The 26268-nt window shown below is 35.8% G+C and overlaps 1 protein-coding gene across 12 annotated transcripts in view; it reads left to right on the forward strand.

Annotated features, from left to right (window-relative positions):
• PKIB (cAMP-dependent protein kinase inhibitor beta) overlaps positions 1-26268 on the forward strand; it is a 254453-nt gene that overhangs the window by 150524 nt on the left and 77661 nt on the right. For 11 of the 12 annotated variants that reach the window (NM_001270393.2, XM_047419002.1, NM_001270394.2 and 8 more), the window contains one exon: positions 10839-10923. The gene's annotated coding sequence lies outside the window, so the exon portion shown is untranslated. Of the gene's footprint in view, positions 1-255; positions 339-10838; positions 10924-26268 lie in introns of those variants that run through there. The other variant, XM_011535932.4, reaches the window with a different exon arrangement.

A 26268-nucleotide genomic window follows, 5' to 3' on the forward strand; every position in this document is an offset into this window, starting at 1 on the left:
AGCTCTGCTCTGATTTTTATTTAGCTATCATTGGAGAACATTCCGAAAAGTGTGTGTATAGATTATGTAACCAGTCACTTAGGGCCCCTGACCCCTTGTTAACCTGGCCCTCTTGAGAGACAGTGAGCTGGGGGTGCACTGGGAACAGCTAGGTCAGACGCAGCCCTGTTGCTTAGCAGTCCCCATGGATCAGTCATAAGGGGTTGTTGCTCAGCAACCAATGCTCTAGTGGTGCTTCATCCCCCATGGCATTTTGCAGTAGTGGGGGCTCACCCCTACCGGAGAAGTAGTACAGTCTGGCAGGGTGCCAAACATCCCCACAGGCATGAGGGTTCTTAGTAAGTATCTGACCTTAGAATCAGAGAAGATAACTTATGTTCTCTGAACGTGCAAGTGATTTATGGAATTATTGATGTAGATTTAATTAAACATGAACTTGGGGCAGGGCAGGTAGTTCTGGCAGCTAGAGTTCTCATTTCAAATACTTTGATTTCAGTTTCTTTCTTCTTGAGGCTTATTTGCAAGGTGAGTTTTCTGGGTCAATGCAAAGTAATTTTTTATGCTGCATGGAATACGTAACTTTCCAATTAGCACTATTAAGCCAGAGCAAACATTTATGTTTGAGAAAACCCGCCAAGCAAATTCTTACTTTGGTCATGTGGGCCTGAATGTCAGAGTATTTGATTTAATATCGATAAAAGAATTTGCCACTAATATTTGAGATATTCTTTGAATTTTCTTTCTGTGTAGAAAGGTCAGAAAATAACAATTCACAAGGATCACGTCTTATTTTATTTTTAATATTTAACACAGCACATAAATTACTCTTTAGGAGAGTTGACAAAAAGTTGAAACTAATTAGCTCTTGTAAGGAAGACTGAGTTCTGCCAGTGTTGAGCAATGGGTTCTTCTTAAGATCCAGGCACATATTTTAAAGATCAAGACATAACATCATCAGTATGTTGAAGTAATGCACAGTTGCATCAAAGGCTAAAATGTGGAGTAGAGAAATGTGCCTTGTCAGATGTGAGAAATAATCTTGCCAGCTCTTTCCCTCCCACCACTTTTTTATTCAGTACTTCTGGCCTTGGGCTGTAACTGTTTGCCTACTGATTCAAAGGGTGAGGAGGCATGGCTCTGTTCTGTATACAAAAGGGAAGCCTCTTTGTTGGCTTTGAGATCTGTACTCTCTGTAGGATCTACATTATTAAAAAAATACTTAAAAACTTGAAAATTTCCCTCAAGCCTTGCACCCAGACACTTTACACGCATACATATACACAAATATGTTGAAGATCATTCAATTCAAGTTATTTCTAAGGTATTACCTAAATAGTAATAGAACAATTAAGTTTTTTTCTAAGATATACTGAAAGCTACTTTTAAGAGTGATTTTTTTTTTTACTGTTTCTATCATATATTTCATTGGCAGGAGCAATCTGTTTATCTTTCTTGTGTAAGAGTATTAATAAATCTAAAACATATTAAACACAATATGTGCCAGGCATTATTCTTTGTGACAAGAATTCAGTATGTCATTTAAACCTCCTAACAACTCTATGTGGTAAATACTATTATTATAGATATTTTTACTTATAGGGAAGTCTAGACTGTTCCAGAAAGTTTAAGTAACTTGGCCAAGTGTACACAGTAAAGATTTATAATCATTAAGTCTGTCTTCAGAATCCATGTTCTCAAACATGACAATATATTGTAAGTACCAAATTATTTCAGGAGGGCAACTTAATCAAAATCCAAAGCAAACATGTTTGTAAGTTATAATGGTATGATGAAAGAATGCAAAAGGTTGAATATTACAAAATCATTTAGGTAACAAGTTTTGCTTATTTTATTCTTTGGGCCATAGTCCATAGCAGGAAACCTTTTTGATCAAGCTTCTTTATATCCATCACATTCTATGAACATGAAACATAAATTCAGGGGGCATATTAGCACTCTTGTTTCTCTCCAGTATAAGATGTGAAGACATATTGTCTTTGATATAAGATATAAAGGAAGAGGAAATCCTTAAAACTTAAAAGAAAACTTAGAGGTAATGAACACGTCTATGAACTGCTTTTGAGTCAATTCTCCAAAAACATTCATATTTCTTAGAGCTTTGAGATATAAAGCAAAATATTAAGTATCAAGGAATGGTCATTTAATCATAAGAGAAAAATCATATAGAGGAGAAAATATATATAAAATCCAGATCAAAAGTCCAAGAATATTGTGAGGCACCATGATGTGTAGTGGATTAATTGTGGGCTTTAGAGTTGAACAGAGCTGAATTTGAATCCCAGCTCTGGGACTTATTAGCTGTGTGATCTTAGGGATGCATCTCACTATCTTTAAGCTTTGCAAAAGATCCACTCTGTGATAGACTAATTGCAATGATTAAGTGGACTAAAATGCAAGGTGTCTACTAAGGTTCATGATACAGAACAGGTGTTTATTAAATGTCAAAATCCCTTTATCTCCTTTTCCTCCTGACAGTAGCAAAGTAAAAAGAGGTTTATCCTGGGGACCTGAAGTGTGAAAGGAGTTTCACAGTGGAATTAATGGGTTAAAGTTTGTCAACATTTTTAAGACTTTGAGTCAACTTTACTAAACTACTATGTAAAAGCAGTTGCGCAATGCAGATGTTACCTTTTTAATTAAGAAAACCTGATTTTACCTTGCCTATTAAAAATGTTTATGGTTTTGACTTGAATCTAAGAAGACAATTAGATGAGATGTTTAACTACTTGTATAAACTGATACCTGAAAGATGAATATATCTCTAATTCTTCGTCATTTTTATCAGTTCCTTTTTATTCATTCTTCACCTGCTGAGGCTTTTAGTACTTGAATAAAAAATTTCAGATAAATTGGATTTTGGTCATTTCTGTATATTTTTAAATCAACTAGTCTAGTTCTAACCCTTCTTTCCACAAAAGTGGGTCTGTGTTTCCTCCATTGTATCTACCACATGGTAGATAAAAAATTTGCCCATGAATGTATAAAGCAGGTTATTTGCAATTTTATGTAAATTAAAAAGCTATGGGGCCTGGCTTGGTGGCTCATGCCTTTAATCCCAAGACTTTGGTAAACCAAGTCAGGAGAATCGATTGAACCTGAGAGGCGGAGGTTGCAGTGAGCTGAGATTGCCCCACTGCACTCCAGCCTGGGCAACGGAAAGACTCTGTCTCCAAAAATAATAATAATAATAATTAATTAATTAATTAACTTTTTTTAAAAAGCTATGAAAATGTAGCAGTTGCCAAGGTTAGTTTAAAAACTGTCACAGTTGTAGAAATCAAGCATATATAATAGGGAAAGAAATAGACTACAGATTAGATTGGCCAGCTTCAGTGGCTCATACCTGTAATCCCAGCACTTTGGGAGGCCTAGGCAGGTGCTTAGCTTGAGCCCAGGAGTTTGAGACCAGCCTGGGCAACATGGACAAATTCCATCTCTACAAAAAATACAACAATTAGTCAGGTGTTGTGGCATGGGCCTGAAATTCCAGCTACTCAGGAGGCTGAGATGGGAGGATCACTTGAGCCCAGAAGGTCAAGCCTGCAGTGAGCCAGGATTGCATCACTGCACTTCAGCCTGGGTGACAGAGAGAGATCCAATTTCAAAATATAGATAGATAGATAGATAGATAGAGATAGATTAGAAGTCAATGAAATGAAAAATTAATAGTAGGTAAATCAGTTGAATACAATAATGCTAATTTTGTTGTGAACACTTACTAATCAATATACTTTAGTGGTTCATATTTTCACAACTGTATAAATTCATCCTTTTTGAACTTTATGGAGCAAAAGTGAGTGTAAAACACATTTGCAAATATTCTTTAAAGTTATTATTTACCTTTTGCTAATACGAGTAAAGATTTATGAATTTCCATTCAATGATCACTTATTGAATACCTACAGTATATTGTCCTAAGTCCTGCAGATAGTTGAATAAAACATTGCCATTCAAGATGTTCACACGCTCTGGGGAAGACTATCAAACACAGCTGTAACAGAAAGCATCAGAGAGTCATAAGAAGAATGATTTTGGGGCAGAGATTATGATTAATAACAATCTGGAACAATTCCTAAAGCTTCACAGAAGATGCGGCATTTGAGTTGGGCCATTAAGGATGGCCCACAGCCTTCCAGGAAGAGCAAAAGGAAATGTGCATTCTGGACAGATGAAGCAGAATGTTTTTTGTGTGGTCTATTTGTGTTAATCTTTTGCTATTTATTGCTAGCCCTATGTGGCCAAGGGATCCAAACAACCACATTTTATCACCACTTGTACAAGTTCTCATACAAAGGAAGCACTCAGTAAATATTGTTTTTTAATATATGAATGAATGAACGAATGAACACACAGATCCTTCTTAATATGAGATGATAACTTTCAAATAAAAATTATACCACATTGAGAGTTGTTTTTCTTTACCTGATAACAGCTATGCAATTCAAAGGACAATTTAAATTTTCTAAACTCTGAGTAACAATCATCTCGGCCGGGCGCGGTGGCTCACGCCTGTAATCCCAGCACTTTGGGAGGCCGAGGTGGGTGGATCACGAGGTCAGGAGATTGAGACCATCCTGGTTAACACGGTGAAACCCCGTCTCTACTAAAAAAAAAAAAAAAAAAAAAAATTAGCTGGGCGTGCTGGCGGGCGCCTGTAGTCCCAGCTACTCAGGAGACTGAGGCAGGAAAACGGCGTAAACCCGGGAGGCGGAGCTTGCAGTGAGCCGAGATTGTGCCTACTGCACTCCAGCCTGGGCGACAGAGTTAGACTCCGTCTCCAAAAAAAAAAAAGAAAAAAAAATCATCTCACCAAATTTTAACTCCTGTGGGTTTTAGTCCTAGCACTCTGCTCTTCTCTTTCTATAATTAATTTCTACACTTTTGTTGGCTTGTTTAAATGCATGAGTTCAAATGTATCACTTCATAAGTTACTCCCTGATTTACTCCCCTGGATTTGATCAATTGAGTGTATTTACTGTTAATATTGTTTCCCATCTGCCTATTGGATAAGCCCTTCTTGGTTGAATCACACTCACTGAATACCTGAATGTCTTAATTTGAACTCATCATGTTCCTTCCAACTTTTCTTGCCAATTCTTCCTTTTCTGGATAATTCCTGGGGTGTATCTGACTCTTTTTTCTCCCTACCCAAATCAACAATCAACCCTGGCATAAATTCTTTTGACATCTTTCACATTTGTCAGCTTTTAGTCACAAACTAAAACACTTGGCTTATTACCCCAAATGGCCTTCATTCATTTTTCTTCAGTCTCACAGACAGTTAATTGTTCTACATCCTTTCTTGACGTAACATAGACACTTTCATGGTCATCCCTCATTTACTGATAAAGAAAACTTCTTTTTATAAAATATCATTAATTTATTTCTGATTAGAAAAGAACATGATTTAATTTATAAAATATATAAAATAAGGAAAATAAATAAGTAAACTCATACAAGATTTTAACTGTATATCATCTTACAGAAAACATTCATATTTTGTTATGTATGGGATTAACATATATACTTTTAAAAAACAAAATTGTGATTCTATTGTATATCGAGTGTATCCAGTTCTTTTTTTTTTTTTTGAGACAGAGTTTTGCTCTTGCCCAGGCTGGAGTGCAATGGCGCAATCTTGGCTCACCGCAACCTCCACCTCCCAGGTTCAAGCGATTCTCCTGCCTCAGCCTTCCCAAGTAGCTGGGATTACAGGCATGCGCCACCAAGTCCGGCTAATTTTGTATTTTTAGTAGAGATGGGGTTTCTCCATGTGGGTCAGGCTGGTCTCAAACTCCCGACCTCAGGTGATCCGCCTACCTCGGCCTCCCAAAGTGCTGGGATTACAGGCGTGAGCCACCGCGCCCGGCCTCCAGTTCTTTCATTTAACATTTATGAAACATTTGCCATGTCTTATGATTACATATTCTTTAAGACTTGCTGAGTTGAATAGCATTACTTTAAGAGTAATACAGAGCAAAGTCTGAATCTCTCCAGTGGGCTTCTTAGCTATGTGATCTTGGGTAAGTTACTGAATATTTTTGAGCTTCAGTTTTGTCATTTGCAAAATTGAGATCTTAATAGTTGTAATGAAGATTTAATGACATAGTGGATACAAAGTATGCCCTGTGCATTAATAGCTAGTATAAATGTTAGCTACAATTTCTGGTTTCTTATATCTAGATACTATTTCTTCCTATGGCTACATCATACTTTATTGGACTGCACCCCCAGTTAGACTTATTGCCTGCTAATTCAATCTTAAGCCTTTTGCCTGGCTTTCAGGATTCCTTATAACCTAGCCTGACCTGACTCACAACATTTTTCACAATTTAAATTCTCTCCTCTCTGTAACCAATTTCTTTCCAGTTGCATGTGTTCAGTATGCTGACTTTCACCTTATCTCCCTTACTAGAGGTTACCTAGTGTTGTTTGTGTATACAGGAAACATTCCTGGGTAGAGGGGAAAGCTGATTCCATGGGGAACTCAGCAGCTGGGATGTGCCCTCAGAATCAGTCCAAATGAGGGCTCAGTGCAGGTTCTTTATGCCCTGCAGTAACTCGTAATTGGAAGGTTTCAGTTGAGGGCCATCAACCACCAATAATCAGCTGGGGAAATGAATGGTTCAGTCCTGAAGGGGGCAGCTGGTGGCACACCACAATGTCCATTACAACTGCTTCATAATACTCTCTGTCTTTCATTGTACTTGAATAAGGCTTTTCTCAGTTGTGTTACCCAGATAGAGCTATATGCTAGATGTCAAGGCTGAAATATTGAGTGGTGATAGATAATGCAATATGTATTGCATTAACAGGAAAAGTACTACAGGCGCCAACTGAAAGAGCTAATGATGACCCAATCTGGAACAATTTGCAGAGCATAATAAAGTACTATTGGATTATAATCCAAAGTATAAAATATAATATCTATCATGAGTTCATATCATTATGAATAAATAATTGAATACATAAATAAATGAGAAGAGATAAATCTCTTGTGCAGAAAAATTCCAAATAATTTGAGTAGACACAACATCCTCAAAGAGGTAGAAAATAACTCCTTTCTTCTTAATTGTGGGCTACACATAGTGACTTCTTTCCCAAAAATACAGAGGAAAGCAGCAGGAGACAGACTAACTTTTCAGTGGAGAAACCTGACAAACACTATCTCATCAAGGTCAACATCGGTAGTGATGCCATACTGATATTATAGACCCTTGATATGATGTGATGAAAATGGCACTTTTCCTCTGTGGTCTTCCTCCCAAAATCTCATAGCCACAGTCTAATCATGAGAAAAACACCAGGCAAATCCCAATTGAAAGGCATTCTACAAAATATCTGTCAAACTATTAAGGTCATTAAAAACAAGGAAAGTCTAAGAAAATGTCACAGTAAAAAGGAAACATTATGACTACACGTAATGCGGTATCCTAAATGACACTCTGAAATACCGTAAGGGCGTCAGATAAAAACTAAAGAGATATCAGGTATGGGATTTAGTTGACAATAGCATATCAATGTTAGTTCATTAATTGTAATAAATGTACCATACTAATGTAAGATACAAATAATAGGGGAAACTGGGTATGGAACAGTATAAGAACTTTCTGTACTATCTTCAAATTTTTTTTTGTAAATCAAAACTATTGTAAAAAAATATGTTAAAAAGAAATACTATTATCATAGGACCTAGCAATTCCACTTCTGTGTATATATCCAGAAGATTTGAAAGCAGGGTGTTGAGGGGATATTTGTACACTCATGTTCATAGTAGCATTATTTATAATATTCAAAAGGTGAAAGTAACTCAAGTGTCCATTGATGGATGAATACATAAACAAAATACAATATATACATCAGAGTATTTTTATTTAAGGCTTTATTCAGCCTAAAAAAGGAAAGAAATTCTGGCACTTGCTGCCACATAGATAAACTTTGAGAACATTATGCTAAGTGAAATGAGCTAGTCACAAAAAGACAAATACTATATGATTCCACTTATAAAACTAGATAGTAAAATTTATAGAAACAGTAAAATGATGGTTGTCAGGGGTTTTGAAAAGAGAAATGGAGGTGGTAGTTTAATGGGTATGAAATTTCAGTTTTGCAAGACAAAAAAGTTGTGGAGATTGGTTGTATAACAATATGAATATAATGAGGAATACTGAACTATATGCTTAAAAATGATTATGATACATTTTATATGATTTTAACTATAATTTTTAAAAAGCACTATTAAAATTACCATTTTCAATCCATCAGCCTGATAAAATCGGTACTGCACGGATATGCTATATCTGTTTCTTTTCAGTTTATGATCCTCAGTATACTGTTTGGCTAATTACCCAGTGATCTAAAACAGTAAAGAGGTTAAGTAGGATAATCAGTATCATCCAAAAGTATTTGCAATGAATGCTCATCCAAAAGCCCATATAAAAGTTACCTGGAAACCAGCAGATGGGATGCTCATGAGAACTCAGGGGTTGAAGGAGAGGAAAGCATGGATTAGCAGCATTTTTTGTCGTTTTTATGTCTAAAATAAAGACTTCCTTGAGCTGAGGCCACAGTGCTAATTATATATTAAGGAATATTTGGTTGATATCTTTTATTTCCTCTTTGGAAACAGAACAAACAAACATCCTATTACACACACTCTACATTTCTTTCATTTAAAACTCTACAACACAATGACAGAGAATAGGGACATATTTTCTATTAGTGTCCAGTAATGTCTGGAGATATTAGCAGAGTTTGAAAAAGATGGCATTAATATCTGTGCCACATATGGCAGTCGAGTTATTTTAATTAAATGGCAGGTTCAGCCAATTGAGATTTGTCACTGTTTTGAGCTCCCTTTCCTTTTTCTCACTTTTTTAGATTCAGAATGTCTTTGACATCCAAATATATTACAGTGTAATTCCTTTGGTGCTCTTTTTTTTGGGAAGCCAAAACAAACTCTTTAGAACATCACATTTCCAAAAGAAAGCTGTAAGACTTAAGAGTGTGATCACAGATACCTCTTGGGTCTCAATCTGAATTTAGTGTTAAACAAAGGAAGCAAGTTTATACTTCTGCAGATCTTCAGGGAGCGTAATAACCGTATATTTGGAATTTCATTGTATGTGATCTTCTTTAAATGTCAGAACAACCTGGAGAGACAGGCAGGATTAATATTATTATGCCATTTGATGAACAAAGGTCTGTCATTCACCTCCAGGAAAGGACATGACTCCTCAAAATCACCAGCTGATAAATAGATGAGTTGAAACTAGAACTGAGTTCAGTGCTTCTGCCTATATGTTGCAATGCCCTTAGGACATTCTTTTACCAGTGCATTTGTAAGCTATGTGAGAAGCAAAGGAGAGAGTAATCAAACTATTTGAAAACTAACTTAGAGTGGCTAACATAATGATGTTGACATTTGGGGAAAAAGATACTTTATTTGAGAATCATAGTGAAATATCTCCACCACGTATAGTTCTTGGGTTTTATACAAATTGGAAGTTCAGTTACTGTCCCAGTGTGAAAGGTGTGTGGAGGATGGATTCGAAGGGGAATGACTCAGGCAGGGATACTGGTGAGAAATGTCATAACCCCTGGAAGAATGGGTGGAATGGAAGAAGCTATGGCTGGGGAGAGTTGAACTAGATTTGCCCATGCAAATGGAATTGGAATGAAGAGTGAATTGAAGAACATTAAGAGCCTGGAATAGATAGAATTTGATGGTTTATTAGAAAGGAATAGGGAAGAGAAGACAGCAGACAACGTTGATCCTTGAATGCATAATATAAAACTAGACTCTTCCCTGCTCTGAATAACCCTAGTATACAAGCAGAGGAATGTTGACATTACTGGCCTCACATCTAGAAAAAGAAACAGATGATCTTCATAAAATGAAAGAAACATGGCTCATTCATTTTTAACATCTAAGCATTTACTATGTGTCTGCTCAAATATGTAGACTGCCTGAGTGAAAGGGCGTCTGGTTAACCCAGTGATCAGCTGTGGCCACCTCCACAGAAGTATATACATAAATGAAAATAACTAGGTTGTTTTCCAGCTATTTAAAGCTAATAACTAGTTTTTAAATGGGGACTTTTTTACATATAAATACCTAAAAGAATATGATCTGCAAAAAATATGCAAGTTGATTGGCTACCTATTCATAGCAAAATGTTAGATTACCTCTAGATGGTGAGGCATTATGCGTAGACTGGATTTTACTGGATTCATTTCTCTCCAAAAATTCCAATCACTAGATCTTGTGATTGAGGAAAACAATGTCCTTGCTCCTTGGTATTTAAATTCAAAGATGAACGGTTGCAGGGATATATTGCTTTTTAAAGCACACATTTGAGAAAGGCTATCATTCACCTAGTGAATCTATTTTCAATGGAAATTTGAAAATCTAAAAAAAAATCTTGCTTTCTTGTTTATTTTACTATTTAGTAAGAATGTCTCTGACTGTTCATGTTACACAGTTTTAGAGCAAAACATGAGAAAGACTGCTCAGAATACAATTGATGTGTTTGAATGGTGAACAAAATAATACAAAGAAATACATTCCTTATTTATCTGGGTGTATGGAGCTGCTTACTCAAGAAAATTTGTCCTGCTCTTGCTATCAGAGAAACTGAATAAAACAATTTGGGAAAAGGAATAAAAAAGACAATGAATGTTGTTTTAACAACATGTGACATTTGGTCACTAAGTTAGACTTTTTTGTCTAAGGAACAACTTGTTCTTTTTTGCAAGAGACAAGCAACTGGAGATGTTTATCTTAATAAATCTGTTCCTGCCTTTGTTTCCTTCAGGAGTCATGCTATACTGAAAAGACACTTCATCAAGATAACTCTGGGAGAAGCAGAAAACCCTGTGCCAGGGACAGGAAAGATAGGAGTAAGTATATTTTTGTTCCATTGATCTTGGAACATATGGAATAATATATTGAAGATGTTCCTAAAAATATATTTGTTGCTATAAAGCCAGATGACAGCAAAGAAAATGTAAGGTGGGATATCTTCATTTTAGAAAACAATGTAGTTTAATATAAGATTGATAGAATATATTGTTAATTTCTAATTAATAGCAAACGATACATACTGGGACCTTGAGATACACATTTTCAACTCATATCTGCCAGGGATAAGTGAGCTTGGTTTGATATTTCCACTCTTAGCTGTGCCTACTTAAATGGTTCTTATAGAGGCAGCTAGCCCATCAGAATAGTATTTTGAAATTTATAGCCTTTAAAATAGAAGAGAAATTCATACTGCCTATCAGGTCTTATAAACTGACTGCTTTTCTTATTACTACTCTCCTCAGAGACCATAGTAATAGAATTATAATCAGTACCTACAATTAAATATTCTTGATGACACTAATAGGTGAACATAAACCTCAAGTTAATACTTGTTTGAGAGACAGGTTTTTGTGTGCTGGTATCTCACAGATATCTGTCCTATCTATCTATCTATCTATCTATCTATCTATCTATCTATCTATCCATCTATCTATGACAGATATCTGTATATATTCATACTTGCCTACACAGTAGTGCATCCTTTGAAAATTGAGGCCACATTCATATTGCAGTCTTATTAGTATTTCATAAAAATATTATCAGTTTGTAACAAGGAACAGAAAACCAAACACTGCATGTTCTCACTCATAAGTAGGGATTAAACAATGAGAACACATGGACATAGGGAGGGGAACATCACACACCGGGGCCTGTCAGGGAGTGTGGGGCAAGGGGAGGGATAACATTAGGAGAAATACCTAATGTAGATGACGGGTTGATGGGTGCAGCAAACCACCATGGCACGTGTATACCTATGCAACAAACCTGCACATTCTGCACATGTATCCCAGAACTTAAAGTATAATAAAAATAAATAAATAATAAATAAATAAATGTTATCAGCTTGGTAAAACTTGTATTTGAGGGCACCTGGACCCCTTAGTGCTACATTCTCCTACCCAGAGTGAGAACCTTGCTTCTCCACTGCAGCTTAGATGACAGAGCAAGAGAACCCAAGGTCAGCTGCAGCCTGAGGGAAGGCTCCAAAGTTCTTCTCCCCCTCTCAGATTCCTACTAGAACACAACTCCAGGGAAGCAGGAAGGAGTGGAAGACATAACATTTGGTTTAGGCTCATTGCCTGGTCTTCTTAAAACCAGTGTACAACTTTCCCATTAACCCTCTGTGATTTCATTTAACATTGGCAATAGGTTCATTCCCATGGCTCATCAGAGCATTTTTACTTTGATGTGAAAATTTAAATTTATGTCAACATGTCTAAAAATAAAAAAATACAAAAAAATTAGCCGGGTGTGATGGCGGGCGCCTGTATTCCCAGCTACTCAGGAGGCTGAGGAAGGAGAATGGTGTGAACCCGGGAGGCGGAGCTTGCAGTGAGCCGAGATCACACCACTGCACTCCAGCCTGGGTGACAGAGCGAGACTCCATCTCAAAGAAAAAAAAAAAAAGAATAGCATGTCTTAATTGAAACCTACTTTTATTATAAAATAATTTCACACAAATAATTTTACCCAAACCATTTATATTTCTACATAAACCACTAGAATCTCCATACTAGAACAAAATAAGTAGAATTATAATACGAATTAATTTTGTACTTAAGGAAAATTAAAACTAACATAAAATAATTTATTGGGTCTATATTGTGGGCTGAGTATACAGTGATTTATAAGCATAATCTTCTTTAATTCTTACAGTAACTCTATGAGGAAGGTAAGGAAGGCATGGTTATTTCCTGTGATACAAGCATACCTTGCCAAATGCACACATTTAGCAAGTGGGTGGTGAGTTAAGACTTGAGCCTAATTTTGTCGGAAGCATAAGCCTATGTCCTTGACCAGCTTGAATAGAAATGTTTGATGGGAGCTAAAACACTACGTTTAAGTGACTATAGTATCTTATTTTCATCAGCTATTTATAATCAATTACTAGAAATATACACTCTTAAGGAACAAATTATCCCTATATTCTATGAATTCTTTGAAAGAGAAAACATTTTTCTGATTTATTTAATAAGAAGCACAATACCAAAAAAGTAAAAAAAAAAAAAAACTAAAAAAAGTATCACAAAAAAGAAAATCATAAAAATTCATTGAAATACTAGCTAAATAATGTAGACATCAATAAAATAGAATACAACACATGGTGTTTATTCTAGGAATGTTAAAGTGGTTTAGTATCAGGAAACTTATTAAAGTGATTTCATAGTCTTAGACTGAGGAATAAAACCCCTATTTTAACTTCCAAATAGATTTCAAATGACATTTGATAAAATGCAACTATATTACTTTTAAGAAACCACACATACATGTAGCATAGTAATTTAGGAATAGAGAGATGTCATTAAAATATAAAACTTCTGCTTTCTGATTTCAAGAAAGCAGAAAAACCCTAGTGGCTTACTACATGACCAATTTCATCACTTATAATTAATATCATTTAACAAATTTTAACCAACGCAATAAATGTTTTAAAAGACTAATATTTTCTTCATTTTTCTTATATATGCTAGGAACTATTCTAAATGCTTTACAAATATTAACTCATTTAATCCTCACAACAACCCTAGGAGATATGGACTACTATCATTCTATTTTACAAATTAGGAAGCTGAGGCCAAGAGATGCTAAGTAACAAGGCCAAGGTCATGAAGCTAATAAGTAGCAGAGCTGAATTAAAACTCATGTGGTTTGATCTATGAGTCTTTAATCATAAATACCATGTTGTGCTGCCTCTCAAAGGTTATAATTATTAGAAAAAATGTTATATTTTTGCTAAAAATATATATTTTACTAAAAATCCCAAGAGAATTAACTGAAGAACCATTAGGGTAATGAACTTTGTTAAGTAACTATACAAAAGATAAATGTGTAAAAATCAGTTGATTTTTCTATGACAGCAACAAATAAAAAACATTTAAAAATCTCATCATAACAATTAAATATTATATAGCTATGAATAAACTATTAAAGAAATGTACAAGACTTAAGAAAATAACATCTATTGAGAAACATAAGATAAACAATTGGCTGTTAAGTATGTTATGCAGAAAGAAAAAATAGCAGTAATGAAGGTTTATATTGTATTCTTGGATGAGAATAATAGATGTTGTACACGTTAGCTTCCTCAAATTAATTTATAAAGTTAGTACAATTTCATTTAAAATCCAAAAAAGGATTTGGGAGAGATCTTGGCAAAATGATTATTAAAATTCATTTGGAAGTATGGACAGTCTGGAAAAGGCATATTTTTGAAAAAAGAAGAAAGTTGAAACTTGCTATTTCCCAGTATTAAAGCATATTAAAAAGTTACAATTATTAAAATTGTGTGGTACTATTTACTAATACAGAAACTTAGAGAAGCCAAATCAGTTTGAGAATTCCCCAAACAGATCAAAGCACATGTAAAAGTAATGCATAAGAAAGACCACATTTCATGTTGATGGAGAAAGTAATGACTATTCAAAAAGCACAACAACAATAATTAGTTAATGTTAGGAAAACATGTAAATTTGGATATTTTATTTATACAATATACAAATACTTGTCAGATTGATAAAAGCAGAACAATGACAGAGACATAACTGGAGGAAAATAGATTGGCAAATAATTTCATAATCTTGTCTAACATGACATCAAAGGCAAAAATCATAATTGGAGATTGATAGACTTGATTGTAGATATATTAAAACTTCTATACATATAAAACAGAGAAGAGACTCAAATAGCATGAACCTAATAAATGTTTGAAAATTGCTTTTTCTTGATTTTTTGAGGGGAAATGGAATTAATGAATCAATAAATTCTGACTAACATTCCAATATATTACTGTTTGATGGCTTAGTAAAGCAGAAATTTTTCTGGGATAGTACTAATTTGCTATTTTATCTCCTGAAGGCACACAGCATCACAGAAATTTTTGTGTGAAGAATACATAATATATCTTAGTTAAAAATAAAGATGAAGGCCAGGTGCGGTGGCTCATGCCTGTAATCCCAACACTTTGGGAGGCCGAGGCAGGTGGATCACGAGGTCAGGAGATTGAGACCATCCTGACTAACACACTGAAACCCTATCTCTACTAAAAATACAAAAAATTAGCTGGGCGTGGTGGCAGGTGCCTGTAGTCCCACATACTTGGGAGGCTGAGGCAGGAGAATGGCCTGAACTCAGGAGACGGAGCTTGCAGTGAGCAGAGATCACGTCACTGCATCCAGCCTGGGTGACAGAGCAAGACTCCGTCTCAAAAAAAAAAAAAATCATAATAATTAATAAATAAATAAATAAAGATGAAGTTCTAGTAAAGACCAGTGATAATATGGAAAGATGAATTGTTCCACCTAAAAAGATCAATTAAATTTGGCTTAAAGTATCCAAGAGAGTAGAGGATTTCAACAAGACAGTTTTATAATTCTTATACGTGCCAAGGCATTTTATTTCAGTAGAAATTATTTGCAACCTCCTTGAGTAATCTCTGAATTAAAATAACATGTTAAAATAAGTTATCACTAATAAAAATGAAATAATTCAATTTCTGTCTTGAATAATGCAGTAGATAATCGCAGAGGAGTGACACAATGATAAAATTTGGAGAGAAATGTTTCCTGTTTTATGGAAGTTGATGATACAAGAAAGTTTATTTGCTTCCTTCCAGAGTACTGCTGCTCCTTCAATGCTGGGGACTCAGAGGAAGTATGAAAGGAAAATGTATTATAATTAATGACCAATAATTTTTTTAAAGTTTTAATTTAGGGAAAATATTCAAGGTTGTACCAGCCTGTACTATAACAATCAACTAACACTAACAAAGTAGCAATTTTCTGTCCCAGGCCATATTAGCATAATTACTAGACTCTGAGGACCAAATATCTCATGGGAAAGAGTAACCAGTGTACCCGTGAACTTTCTAGTCTTTCTGTTCACATCCAGCCCCTATCCATGATTCTGGCCAATGCGTTGACTCCTGTTCACTGCTGTTCCTCCAGAGAGCACTCACTCTGCTTCATGTCCTCCCACTAGCAGTCTCTCAGCTGACAGGGAATCTGCTCCCCAACCTGTGTTGCCCTTTTGTTTCAGGGCTCAAATTGCCCCAAGTTCTGCCTTCAGCCATTCATCTCTTGCCTTCTAACCCCGATCATTTTCTCAGTATTGCGTTTAGCACTTCAACTCTTTTTATCCATCCACCTTAAAGAGTTTTTTCCCTTACTTACACAAGGACTGGGACTGTTAAGAAGTGGATTTTTGCCAGGCAGGTCTTGGTCCTGGGGTTTGGTTAACAGCCATCATCATTGTCCTTCCTATAAGAACTTTTAGACATTCATGAAGTTATATCCCTGGCAGATTCATCCTGCTGGCTCAGGAGATGTGCCTAAAAGTGCCTGAAACTAAAAAAAGACTACAGAATAGACCTTAGCTCTAATACCCTTGCTAAATAAACATTGATTTTTAAACATGTATCTTTATTTGTTCATAAATCTACACTTAGTACATATATTCTTTTACCACCACCAGAAAAAAGTCTGGAAGTAGTCAAAAGAACTGTGTAAAATGTTTTCTTCTCTTGGCTAATAAAGGCAAAAGAGAAACTTAGCCATTTTGTTTTAAGCACGACTAACCAAATCAAACAAGCATAACCCTAAACTTAAAGAATAAATCTTGTTAATGTTCATGCTAGCCAGACTGTCACTTTTTGAAGACTGTCCAAACACTGTAAGCAGTGAATTCTCGAGGGGAAAATGGAAAACAAAACAAAACAACCAACAAACAAAGGAGCAGAACACACAGATACCCTTGTCAAGGAGAGTAAAGGGAATATATACAAAGAATGAAGGTGATCATTAACAGATTAGCACTAATTCTTAGTGATCAAAGTCATTGTCAATTAATGTTTGCAGTGTGCCAAACTCATTTTCTCAATTCTTCATTCCGTAAGTGTTCTTTGAGTGCTTATTCCATTTACCCTGTGCCCTGCACTGTTGTGAGCTGTGGGGATCAGAGCTAAAGACACTGCAATTCTCCAGAGTCTGTGAATCACTAGCATGGAAATTTTGAACTAGAGAAAAATTGACTAGAGGAGTGTGAGGAGACCCAAAAGGTGTTATATCAGGAGTGGCTGATGTTTTCTTTGTGGAGGTCCTAGAGAAGATGCGCTAACTTTCTTCAATTACGTGAGAAATATCATGTCAAAAAAATCTGTGTGATTGAGAAGGGAAAACTAGATTTGAATGGATGGAATTAGAGGAGAAAACATTTTTGCTTAATCAAGGGAAAGGCTTCCTGAAATTATAACAAGCTACCTGTGATAACTGAGTTGATTGGTCATAAGTGGGAGGGTGACGGGTTGGTTTTGGAGGTGGGTAATTAATTCATCTCCAAAGACAAAAGTTCCAGGGTCTGTTGTTGAAACCATTGATGTGGGAAGGGTTCGCCTGAAGACAATACAATAAGGGACTACAAGGCTGCTTTTGAGTTAGATCTACCAGCTTTGTCACTTACTCTTAGGCTTTGACCAAATCTCTCATCTCTGATCCTTAGTGCCTACATCAGAGAAAAGGAGATAGTACGTGTCACGGGGCTGTGGTGAGAAGAGAAAAAAATAATGAGTGTAAATGAACTAATTCAAAATGGTTGCTATATAGTGGACACTCAATAGATGGTACTCAATTCATGGGAACTAGAATGTCATCTTGGGAAACATTTGGACTCCCTTAAACAACCCAGAAAGTTAAAATGACACCCACTAACGTAAAAAGATCCTCTCTTCTTATTTGGGATTCATAAAAACAAAATGTTTCTAAAATGTACAGTGAGAAATGCTAAACATATACAACATTAGAAAAGCTGCCAAGACAATTGTTCTACTTCATTACCATTTCCTTATTATTTACCTATTCTTAGTTGCTGGAAAGATTTTTTTTAGCTCAATTTCTACTTTGTAGTATTCTAAGAGACCTGTACTGTCAACTTCAGTTTGTCATATCAAAGAAGATCTTGGACAACACGTTGTGACATGTTCAAAGAGAGCCTGCTCATGCAAGTTGGATGAGTTTGAAAGTTGCTAGGGTTTAGTTCTAAGTATCTGTGTTGTAATCAATTCCTATTTTTCAATCATGTCGTTGGTATCAACTGTTGCATAATTTGAACTAGCCAGTAAAAAGTCCAGAAGGACTCAGGTGGTGAACTAGAGCAAGATTATGCCAACATGAGACACATAAAGCAATTAGTGATTGCCGGTAAGAACGTTAACTCAACGAACTGTGGTTCACTTCTCACATGCCTACCAGCTGCAATAATGAATATTTAAATAAATAAATATTTCAATACTGTGAGCTCACTTTTCCAGGCCTATCTTAGGTTAGTTTCACCTTCTCTTTGTTTTCATAGTCTGTGTTCTGTTTTTTATTCGTGTAATTCATATTATACGAATATGAATTTCAATAATGAGACATTTAAATAATGAAGAGAACAAAGAATAAAATCAATTTCCCACCTCCCAAAATTGACTCATTTTATTTTATAATGTCTGCTTAAAGTCTCCTTTATAAAGAAATAAAATGCAACAGTTAAGTCTCCTCTCAGAAGCTCCTATGAATTAGTATGCATTGTTCCAGTCTATTTTATATTTTCACTCATGTATTTATACAACCATTCCAATATTTAGTCTTGATTTGTGTTTTTTAACTTACAAAAATAATATCACACTTCTTTTCAAAAGATTGTTTTTGAAATATATGTAGATATATATAGTTCTAGCTCTGTTCTCCCTGTGAAATTTGTATTTCACTTGGTAAATGAAACACTTCATTTGCTATTCACATCTAGTGGCCTTCCCTACTCCTAAATTGGGCCCATGGATAGCAGAACGTTATTGCTAGAAAAGTTGGAAGAAAACATCATTCTAATTTATGGCTTTATATATTACCAGTGCTGGGAACTTTTGAAAATGGCAAAAGCTAAACTGGATGGGAAGTCAGGAAAATATGAATAAACTAGAATTTTCCCAGGCAAACCACAATGAAGGATCAGATTGCATATGAAGAAAACAAAGCTTCGAGAGGTGATGTGACTTTCTGGTGTTAAAGCCAAATAATTAGGAGGCCATTCATCTAGGGTTGTTTCTGTTTCCAGAACCCTTATACAAGCCACACCAAAAGTTAACTTAGAGGCATTCCTTGTTACTGCTTATTATTATTATTATTTTTTGAGATGGAGTCTTACTCTGTCACTCAGGCCAGAGGGCAACCACATGATCTCCGCTCACTGCAACCTCTGCCTCCTGGGTTCAAGTGATTCTCCTGCCTCAGCCTCCCGAGTAGCTGGGACTGCAGGCACATGCCATCACACCTGGCTCATTTTTTATTTTTAGTAGAGACCAGGTTTCACCATATTGGCCAGGCTGGTCTCAAACTACAGACCTCAGATGATCTGCCCAACTCGGCCTCCCAAAGTGCTGGGATTGCAGGCGTGAGCCACAGCTCCCAGCTGTTACTGATTAATTTTGAATTGAGCTTCAGCCAATCACAGACACCCAGCTAGCTGATTGATTATATAACAAGAGACCTCCCATTGAACTGTACGGAAATACATAGCTATAGTTAATCAAGTAATTTTTTTTACTTTGTTTCCATGTTCAGACTATAAAAGCCCACTGCTTAGGCTGCTAGAGCAGAGCTCTTTGAACCTCTTTCAGTTTTGATTATTCATTCTTTTCTTAAATAAACTCTTAAATTTATTTTGTCTAAAGTTGTTCTTTTAACACTGGGTTACATAGCTAGTTAATGACAGTGCTTGAAATATCCAGCCCAAATCTCAAAATCAAAATATTGCATGGGGCAAGAGATAGAAAGCTTTTCTAGTTCATTGTTCTGTTTGTTATTCTGCTGCTTATGTTTAAAAAACACGCAGAGAGCTAAGATAAGGCATTCTTAGAGACACCTCGTTAGAAAAATGAAGTCTGATACCTTGCTTTCACAATGGCTGGTAAGAGTATAGTTTTAATCTATCATTGTTTCCTTATGCTTGCTATCTCACATGCCAGGTAAAGCTATTTGCTCCCTCTTCTCACTCTATCCCATTTGTCCCTCTAGGTAGGAGAATGTGGTCTGGAAAATAAGGTGTCACTGGTGATCAGACATCATCACTTGTCTAGTGACTGTCAGCTTAGTTTTGTCCTACAGTTGTCTTGATTTCCGGCTAGTTAATGAGTGTGACATATCTTTAAGGTTTGGGTGTGCCAATGTACTGGAGACAGAAAATTGACTCACTAATTAAAACATAGCCTGAAACTTGCATGTTCAATACAGGCCTGCAATTTCCTTTACCTAGGCTTGGTCTCAGGTATTCTTCATAGTCAAGGTGATATTACTATTGTATCACTATGATTCATGGTGTTAGGACACCAAATTCCTCATTACATCTTTATTTTAAACTTCTAAACTAGTATAGCTCCTAGGATTAAAAGGATTGCAGATTTTTAATTTTTTTAAAAAAGAGGCAGTATTTAGGTGTACCTGGTAGGGGAGAGAACAAGCATAAGGAAAAATGAATAAATTAAAGCTATATTGTTACCAGCCATTTTGAAGACAAGGTAAAGCTTTTTCATTTTTCTAATGAGGCAGCTCTAAGAATGCATTATCTTAGTTCCCTACATGTTTTCTAAACATAAGAAGCAGCATAACAAACAGAACAAAGGAGTAGAAAGCTTTCTATTTCTTACCCCATGCAATTGTTTGATTTTGAGATTTGAGCTAGGTATTTCAAGGACTGCCATTAACCAGCTATGTAACCTGGTGTTAACTATTAAGTTTTACTCACTTCAAATTTGATTTTGTTTCTCCAAAACGTTTTGCACATTTATAAGATAATTAAAAATCAGCATTTTTAGAAGGCAGCTATGATCACCACTCTATCACCAATGTCACTAAAATCAGTATTCTTGATTGCCTGCTGGAAATAAAAATGTAATTGCTAAAATACTCAGTATAAGTTAAGTGATACGTTACAAGTAAAGATCTCTCATGTGTTAAGTTTCAAGTTTCACTTAATGTTCTTAATAAAATAATGGTAATTTGAATTCTCTACAAATACGTTCAGCCTGTAGTATTCTAATTTACAGATGCTTGAGAACACCTAATATTTTTGATTAACTTAATGTCAAACTATTATCCTACCTTGTAAATAGCATAGAAATTTTAACTATAGTCTTTAAAAAATCAAATTTCATTGGTAGGGAAGTGTAAATGTATGGTTTTTTTAAAACACAACATTAAAAGGTTGAGGTTATAACTTTCATAAAGATGAAATCACTATTTAAAAGCTGCACATAGACTGATTATTATTGTTTGTTTGTCTTAGAAGATGTATCTTTAAATTGCTGGAAGACATCATGAATATTTTCATTGCTAATTATTGGTAAAGTCTTTAGTATATGTCAGTTCTGTTTGTGTGGGTATGGTTGCTGTAGTGCGGCTTAAAAAAAAACAGTGCTTCATATCAGTGAAAGCTCTTCTTTGGTTTAATCTGGGTTGTGGTTATATTGTTTTTTCATATCGTGTGAGCTGATTGCAAGGGGTTAACCCAAAATGAGCCACTTCACTTAAAATTATTCTATATGTTAGTTTGTGAATTCTGTTGTTGGTATTTAAACGTACATCATAGTTTAATCATATCACATAAAGTTGTGATTTCAGGAATACTTTATATTTCTTTTGCTGTTTTTGCTTGTGACAATTGACTGGTCCACCACATAGAATTTCTTAGTCTTTCTAACACTAGGTGAACATTTGAACTGACCAGATGATTTTATGGAAACAGCATGAGACAGTGGAAGTCAAATCTCTATTCTGTACCTTGCTTTGCCCCTTTCTGGCTACAGGAGCCTCAGAAGTCATTCAGAGATGCAGCAAAGTGCAGGGGATCAAACCATTGATCGCTGAATTTGAGTCTTACTTTTGTCATTTATTATTAGCTGTGTGACAGCTAGTAAATTAACTTAATCTCTCTGTCTCTGTGTTTTCATTTGTAAATGGTATTAATATTAGTGCCTCTCCCCCAGCGTTCTTAAGAAGATTAAAGCGGTTGATATTTGTAAAGTACTTAGAATATTGCCTGTACAGCTAATTATTTAATAACATTTTAATGTGATGTGACCTCATTAGATCTGATGTCTACAAACAGTACTTTGAGTTTGAGAATTGTTATCATTTTAAGTGTTTCTTGCCTTTGTTTTCAATACATCTTGAAATTATTAAACTTAAACTGGTGAAAACATTGTTTCTATGTGGAGTATTAATGATTATACAGCTAACACTGATGATTTCTTTGTCATTTGTTTTAAATCAAGGCACATTTGCAGAAATAAAGGACTGCTTTAAAAACTAGCAAAATATTCATATATCTTAGAGTTGTATGGACTGTGACAACTCCTGTAACTGGGTTTGGAACTTGTTTCTGCATTAGGTACACATTTTATCTCCTAAAGGGTTAATGTCATTTATTTTATTTTTCAATTTTTGTCTTTATAACTGTGCTATTAGATGGCAGACTGTTTGGAAAGCTGAATTTGATTATTGCTTTTCAGTTCTTTATTGGCAGTGAAAATATTCTGCTGTTTATCACTTTTCTTTAGTACAGGTTGGTACATGACTTCTATCTTTTAGGGTTATCATACACACATAACTCTTTCTTAAATAATCCACAATCTGTTTTAATTATTCTTAAAACCTGTTAAGTTGGCATATTTTATAGGACAAAGAGTAGTGTAACTTGTCAGTATAAGAGTTGGTGGTAGAGGATGGGGTTAGTTTGTTTTTTAATGACGGCATGGTCTCCAGTGTGAAAGAGGCCATTGGAATTGGAACTTGTTTCCGCTGATGGGAGAAAGTCCAACCGAGCTAGTAGGCTGATTATCTGGAGAGAATAATGATGTCAACAGGAGGTTGTCCTGGCAGATAGGGGGTCGGAGTCCACTAGGACCAGCAAGGTGCAGCAGATGGTGTCCCAGCAGGTGGGTGGGTTGTGGTGACACAGAGTCTGGAAGCAGACAATATCCAGGCAGATAAACAGATAGATATGTTCACAGATTGTGGGTCCCAAGGATTGGGGCTGAGGCTGGGGCCTGAAATACAGGCCCTGGGAAACCTGGATAGACCAGCACAGAGGCCAATCTTGGAGGGAGTAGTGAACTACATAGGGCATTAAAGCAGAGACTCTGTTAGGTGGGGCCACGGGTTAAAGGATACTTGTGACATCCTCAGGTTTGGGGGTTATGTGGATTGGAAGGATACTGGAGCTGGGAGCCAGGAAGGTCTTTAAAGATGCTGACTTCCATATTCCTTAGTGCAGACTCATGTGATGGTCACCTTTTGAAAACTGAAAAACTCAAGTGTGTTAATTACAAAATTGTGCTTTACTTTATTACTGATGAAGAGATTAAAAGACAACTTTGATACAATCAGCCTTGCCTTTTTTTTTTGCAAAGGTCATAGTAACCTTCAGATCAGACTTAACTTCCTGCGGTTGAAACTGCTCACATGGGGCCTAGGCGAAGTGAAGCACGCAATATGGAGGTGTTATTATTCCTTATTCTGCTTAGATTTATCCTTAGGAAGAGGTTATCTATCTAAGAAGAAAGTATAAAATGAAAGAATTAGGAAGTAGATCTTTGTTTTTGACTGAAGCTTGCTTGTAATAGAAGAGAAAATTATGTGGAAGTTGCTGAAATTAATTTCCTTACAATAATATGAGTGTTAACTGGCTTTTTCCCTGACAGTCATTATTTGGGGGAATATCAGCCCCAGTTACATTATTTGGGAATGCCCTACATCAAACCAGGGCCTTCACTTCTAAGGACTAAGAAAAAAATTGAATAGTGACTCTTTTGCTTGAGTCTTAGCATTTAACAGCCTTCTATTATTGATCTTAGACTTTATGTGTACCTATATATTTGAAGTCAAAGAAAAATGAAACCCTCAAAACAAAATCTAAGCATTCTCATGCTTTACATTTTGAAATTAAATCTCCAGTTGATGTTCACTTTTAAAAAATCTAAGTTACTATGAAGTTTCAAAGTGCTATCATTGTTTTTCCAAGTACTACTTTCGATAGAGGAAAAAATCCGTGTTTCTTTTTATTAGATTCTTTACAATGGTGAACCTTGTCTAGAGAAACAATGCATTCATTTATTAAATAGAAGTTAATTTATGTAATTAAAATAAAATTTTTCTGTCATAAAATATAGCTTCAAATTATCACCTCTGTGACTTTGGGGCAAGTAGTTTATTATATTGGGTTTTAGTTTCATATCTCAATTTACACCTTCTTCATAGAAATACTATATTTCTAGTACACCCTTGGGAATCATGATGGATGACAAAGCTTTCCTTTTTTAATGGAATTTTTCTTACTGGAAGTCATTTTAATATTTTCCACTTTTACATGCCCTCACAATCTATATGCAATTTTATTTTAATATTTTCCACTTTTACATGCCCTCACAATCTATATGCAATTTTATCAGTCAGGCTTCCACCAGAGAAACAGATGAAAAACAGAGAAACAGAACCAGTAGGAGATATACATTAAGAAACTTATTGTGAGGAATGGGCTTAAGGAATCCACACACTCGCAGAAGAGTAGGGTGGAAACTCTGGGGCAAGAGTTCGAGCTTCAGTCCACAGGTAGAATTTCTTTTTCCTCAGGAAAAACCTCAGTTCTGCTGTTAAGCCCTTTCAGATGATTGAATCTGGACCACTAAGATATTGAGGATAATCTTCTTCACTTAAAGTCAATTGATTGCAGATATTAGTCACATTTATAAAATTCCTTCACACAAACACCTAGGTGAGTGTCCGATTGATTAACTGGGGACTATAGACTAGTCAGGTTGACGCATGAAGCTGATCACCACATCACAGTCCACACTTTGCAACTTTAGACTCATGCACATTTCCTGAAACCATATTTAATCTCAAAATAAAGAACATAGCAAAGTCATTCTTCCACCTAATGCAATACAGCTATCTTGAAGCATGTTTTCCAGCCCAAAACATGGTAACCCTTTCCCTAGAAGAGGATGCAATGTCATTCACTGTTCTCCTTGACATTCTGTAGCTTAAACACTGTGATGTAAAGTTAGCTATTATGAATATATCTTACGTTAGATAATAATGACAAAAGAGGAAAGAAAGCAAAAATCTTAAATACATGTGCACACACATTTCTAACAAAATAAGGGATGCTTAAAATTTACAGAATTGCTTCTAGAACTGGCCATGTGGTCAATGCTGGTATTTATGATTCCCTTCTTCCATTACCCATTTCATAATTCTCTGCTCTTAAGCAGGCACCTCAGCTGCTCATGGTTCTTAGCCTGGCGGCGTGACCCAAACCTTCATTCCTGAAGGGACTGGGCCATTAGCAGTCCTGTCTGAATTGAATTATTGTGGTTTTCTTCACAGAATGTGGTAGTAATAAGAGATGCCCTCAGGGATCTCCTGTGTTTCAGACAGGCTCATCCTTACCTCCACTGCGTGGTATAGCCCAATTTCCCCTTGGTAATCAGGATTCACCACCCCAACCAATATAGTAACTTCCTTCTTTGCCTGTTGATTCAGAGGTCTGGGGAGCCCAAAGTGACTGGTGGCAGCCTTAACTCCTAGTTCAGTGGAACCCTTTCGTCTCCTAGTGGAAGAACACCTCCCTTTGAAACTAAGACCTCTCCACCAGCACAGCATAAGGTTGTGGGGACATGAAGCAAAATTTCTCTGGTGGATTGCTAAGTGTAATAATTAGTGATGCCACTCTCATTTTCACCCCTTGATTGTTGGATTCACGAATTCTGGCAATAGGAGATCAAGCACCACATATTGAGCACATACATATTTAGATTTAGAACATATACAGCCTCCTAGAGGATATTTCTAGAGCCCAGCAAAATACTGCCACCTACTAGGCACTATAACTGAGTTTTCAAAGGCCATTCCACTGTTTTCTATTATGCCATCTAACTCAGGATGATGGAGAACATGGTAAGATCAGTGAATTAGAGTTTCTTTGCTTCATTTGCTGTGAAGTAAGCTCCTTGATCAGAAGCAATGCTGTGTGGATTACTGTAAGCATGGATGAATTATTCTGTAAATTTGAGGAGGTAGTTTTGACAGAAACTTTACATGAGGGAGAGTAAATTTATATCCATAGTAAGTATA

This window comes from Homo sapiens, chromosome 6 (genome assembly GCF_000001405.40).
Source record: "Homo sapiens chromosome 6, GRCh38.p14 Primary Assembly".
NCBI classification, from domain to species: Eukaryota; Metazoa; Chordata; class Mammalia; order Primates; family Hominidae; genus Homo; species Homo sapiens.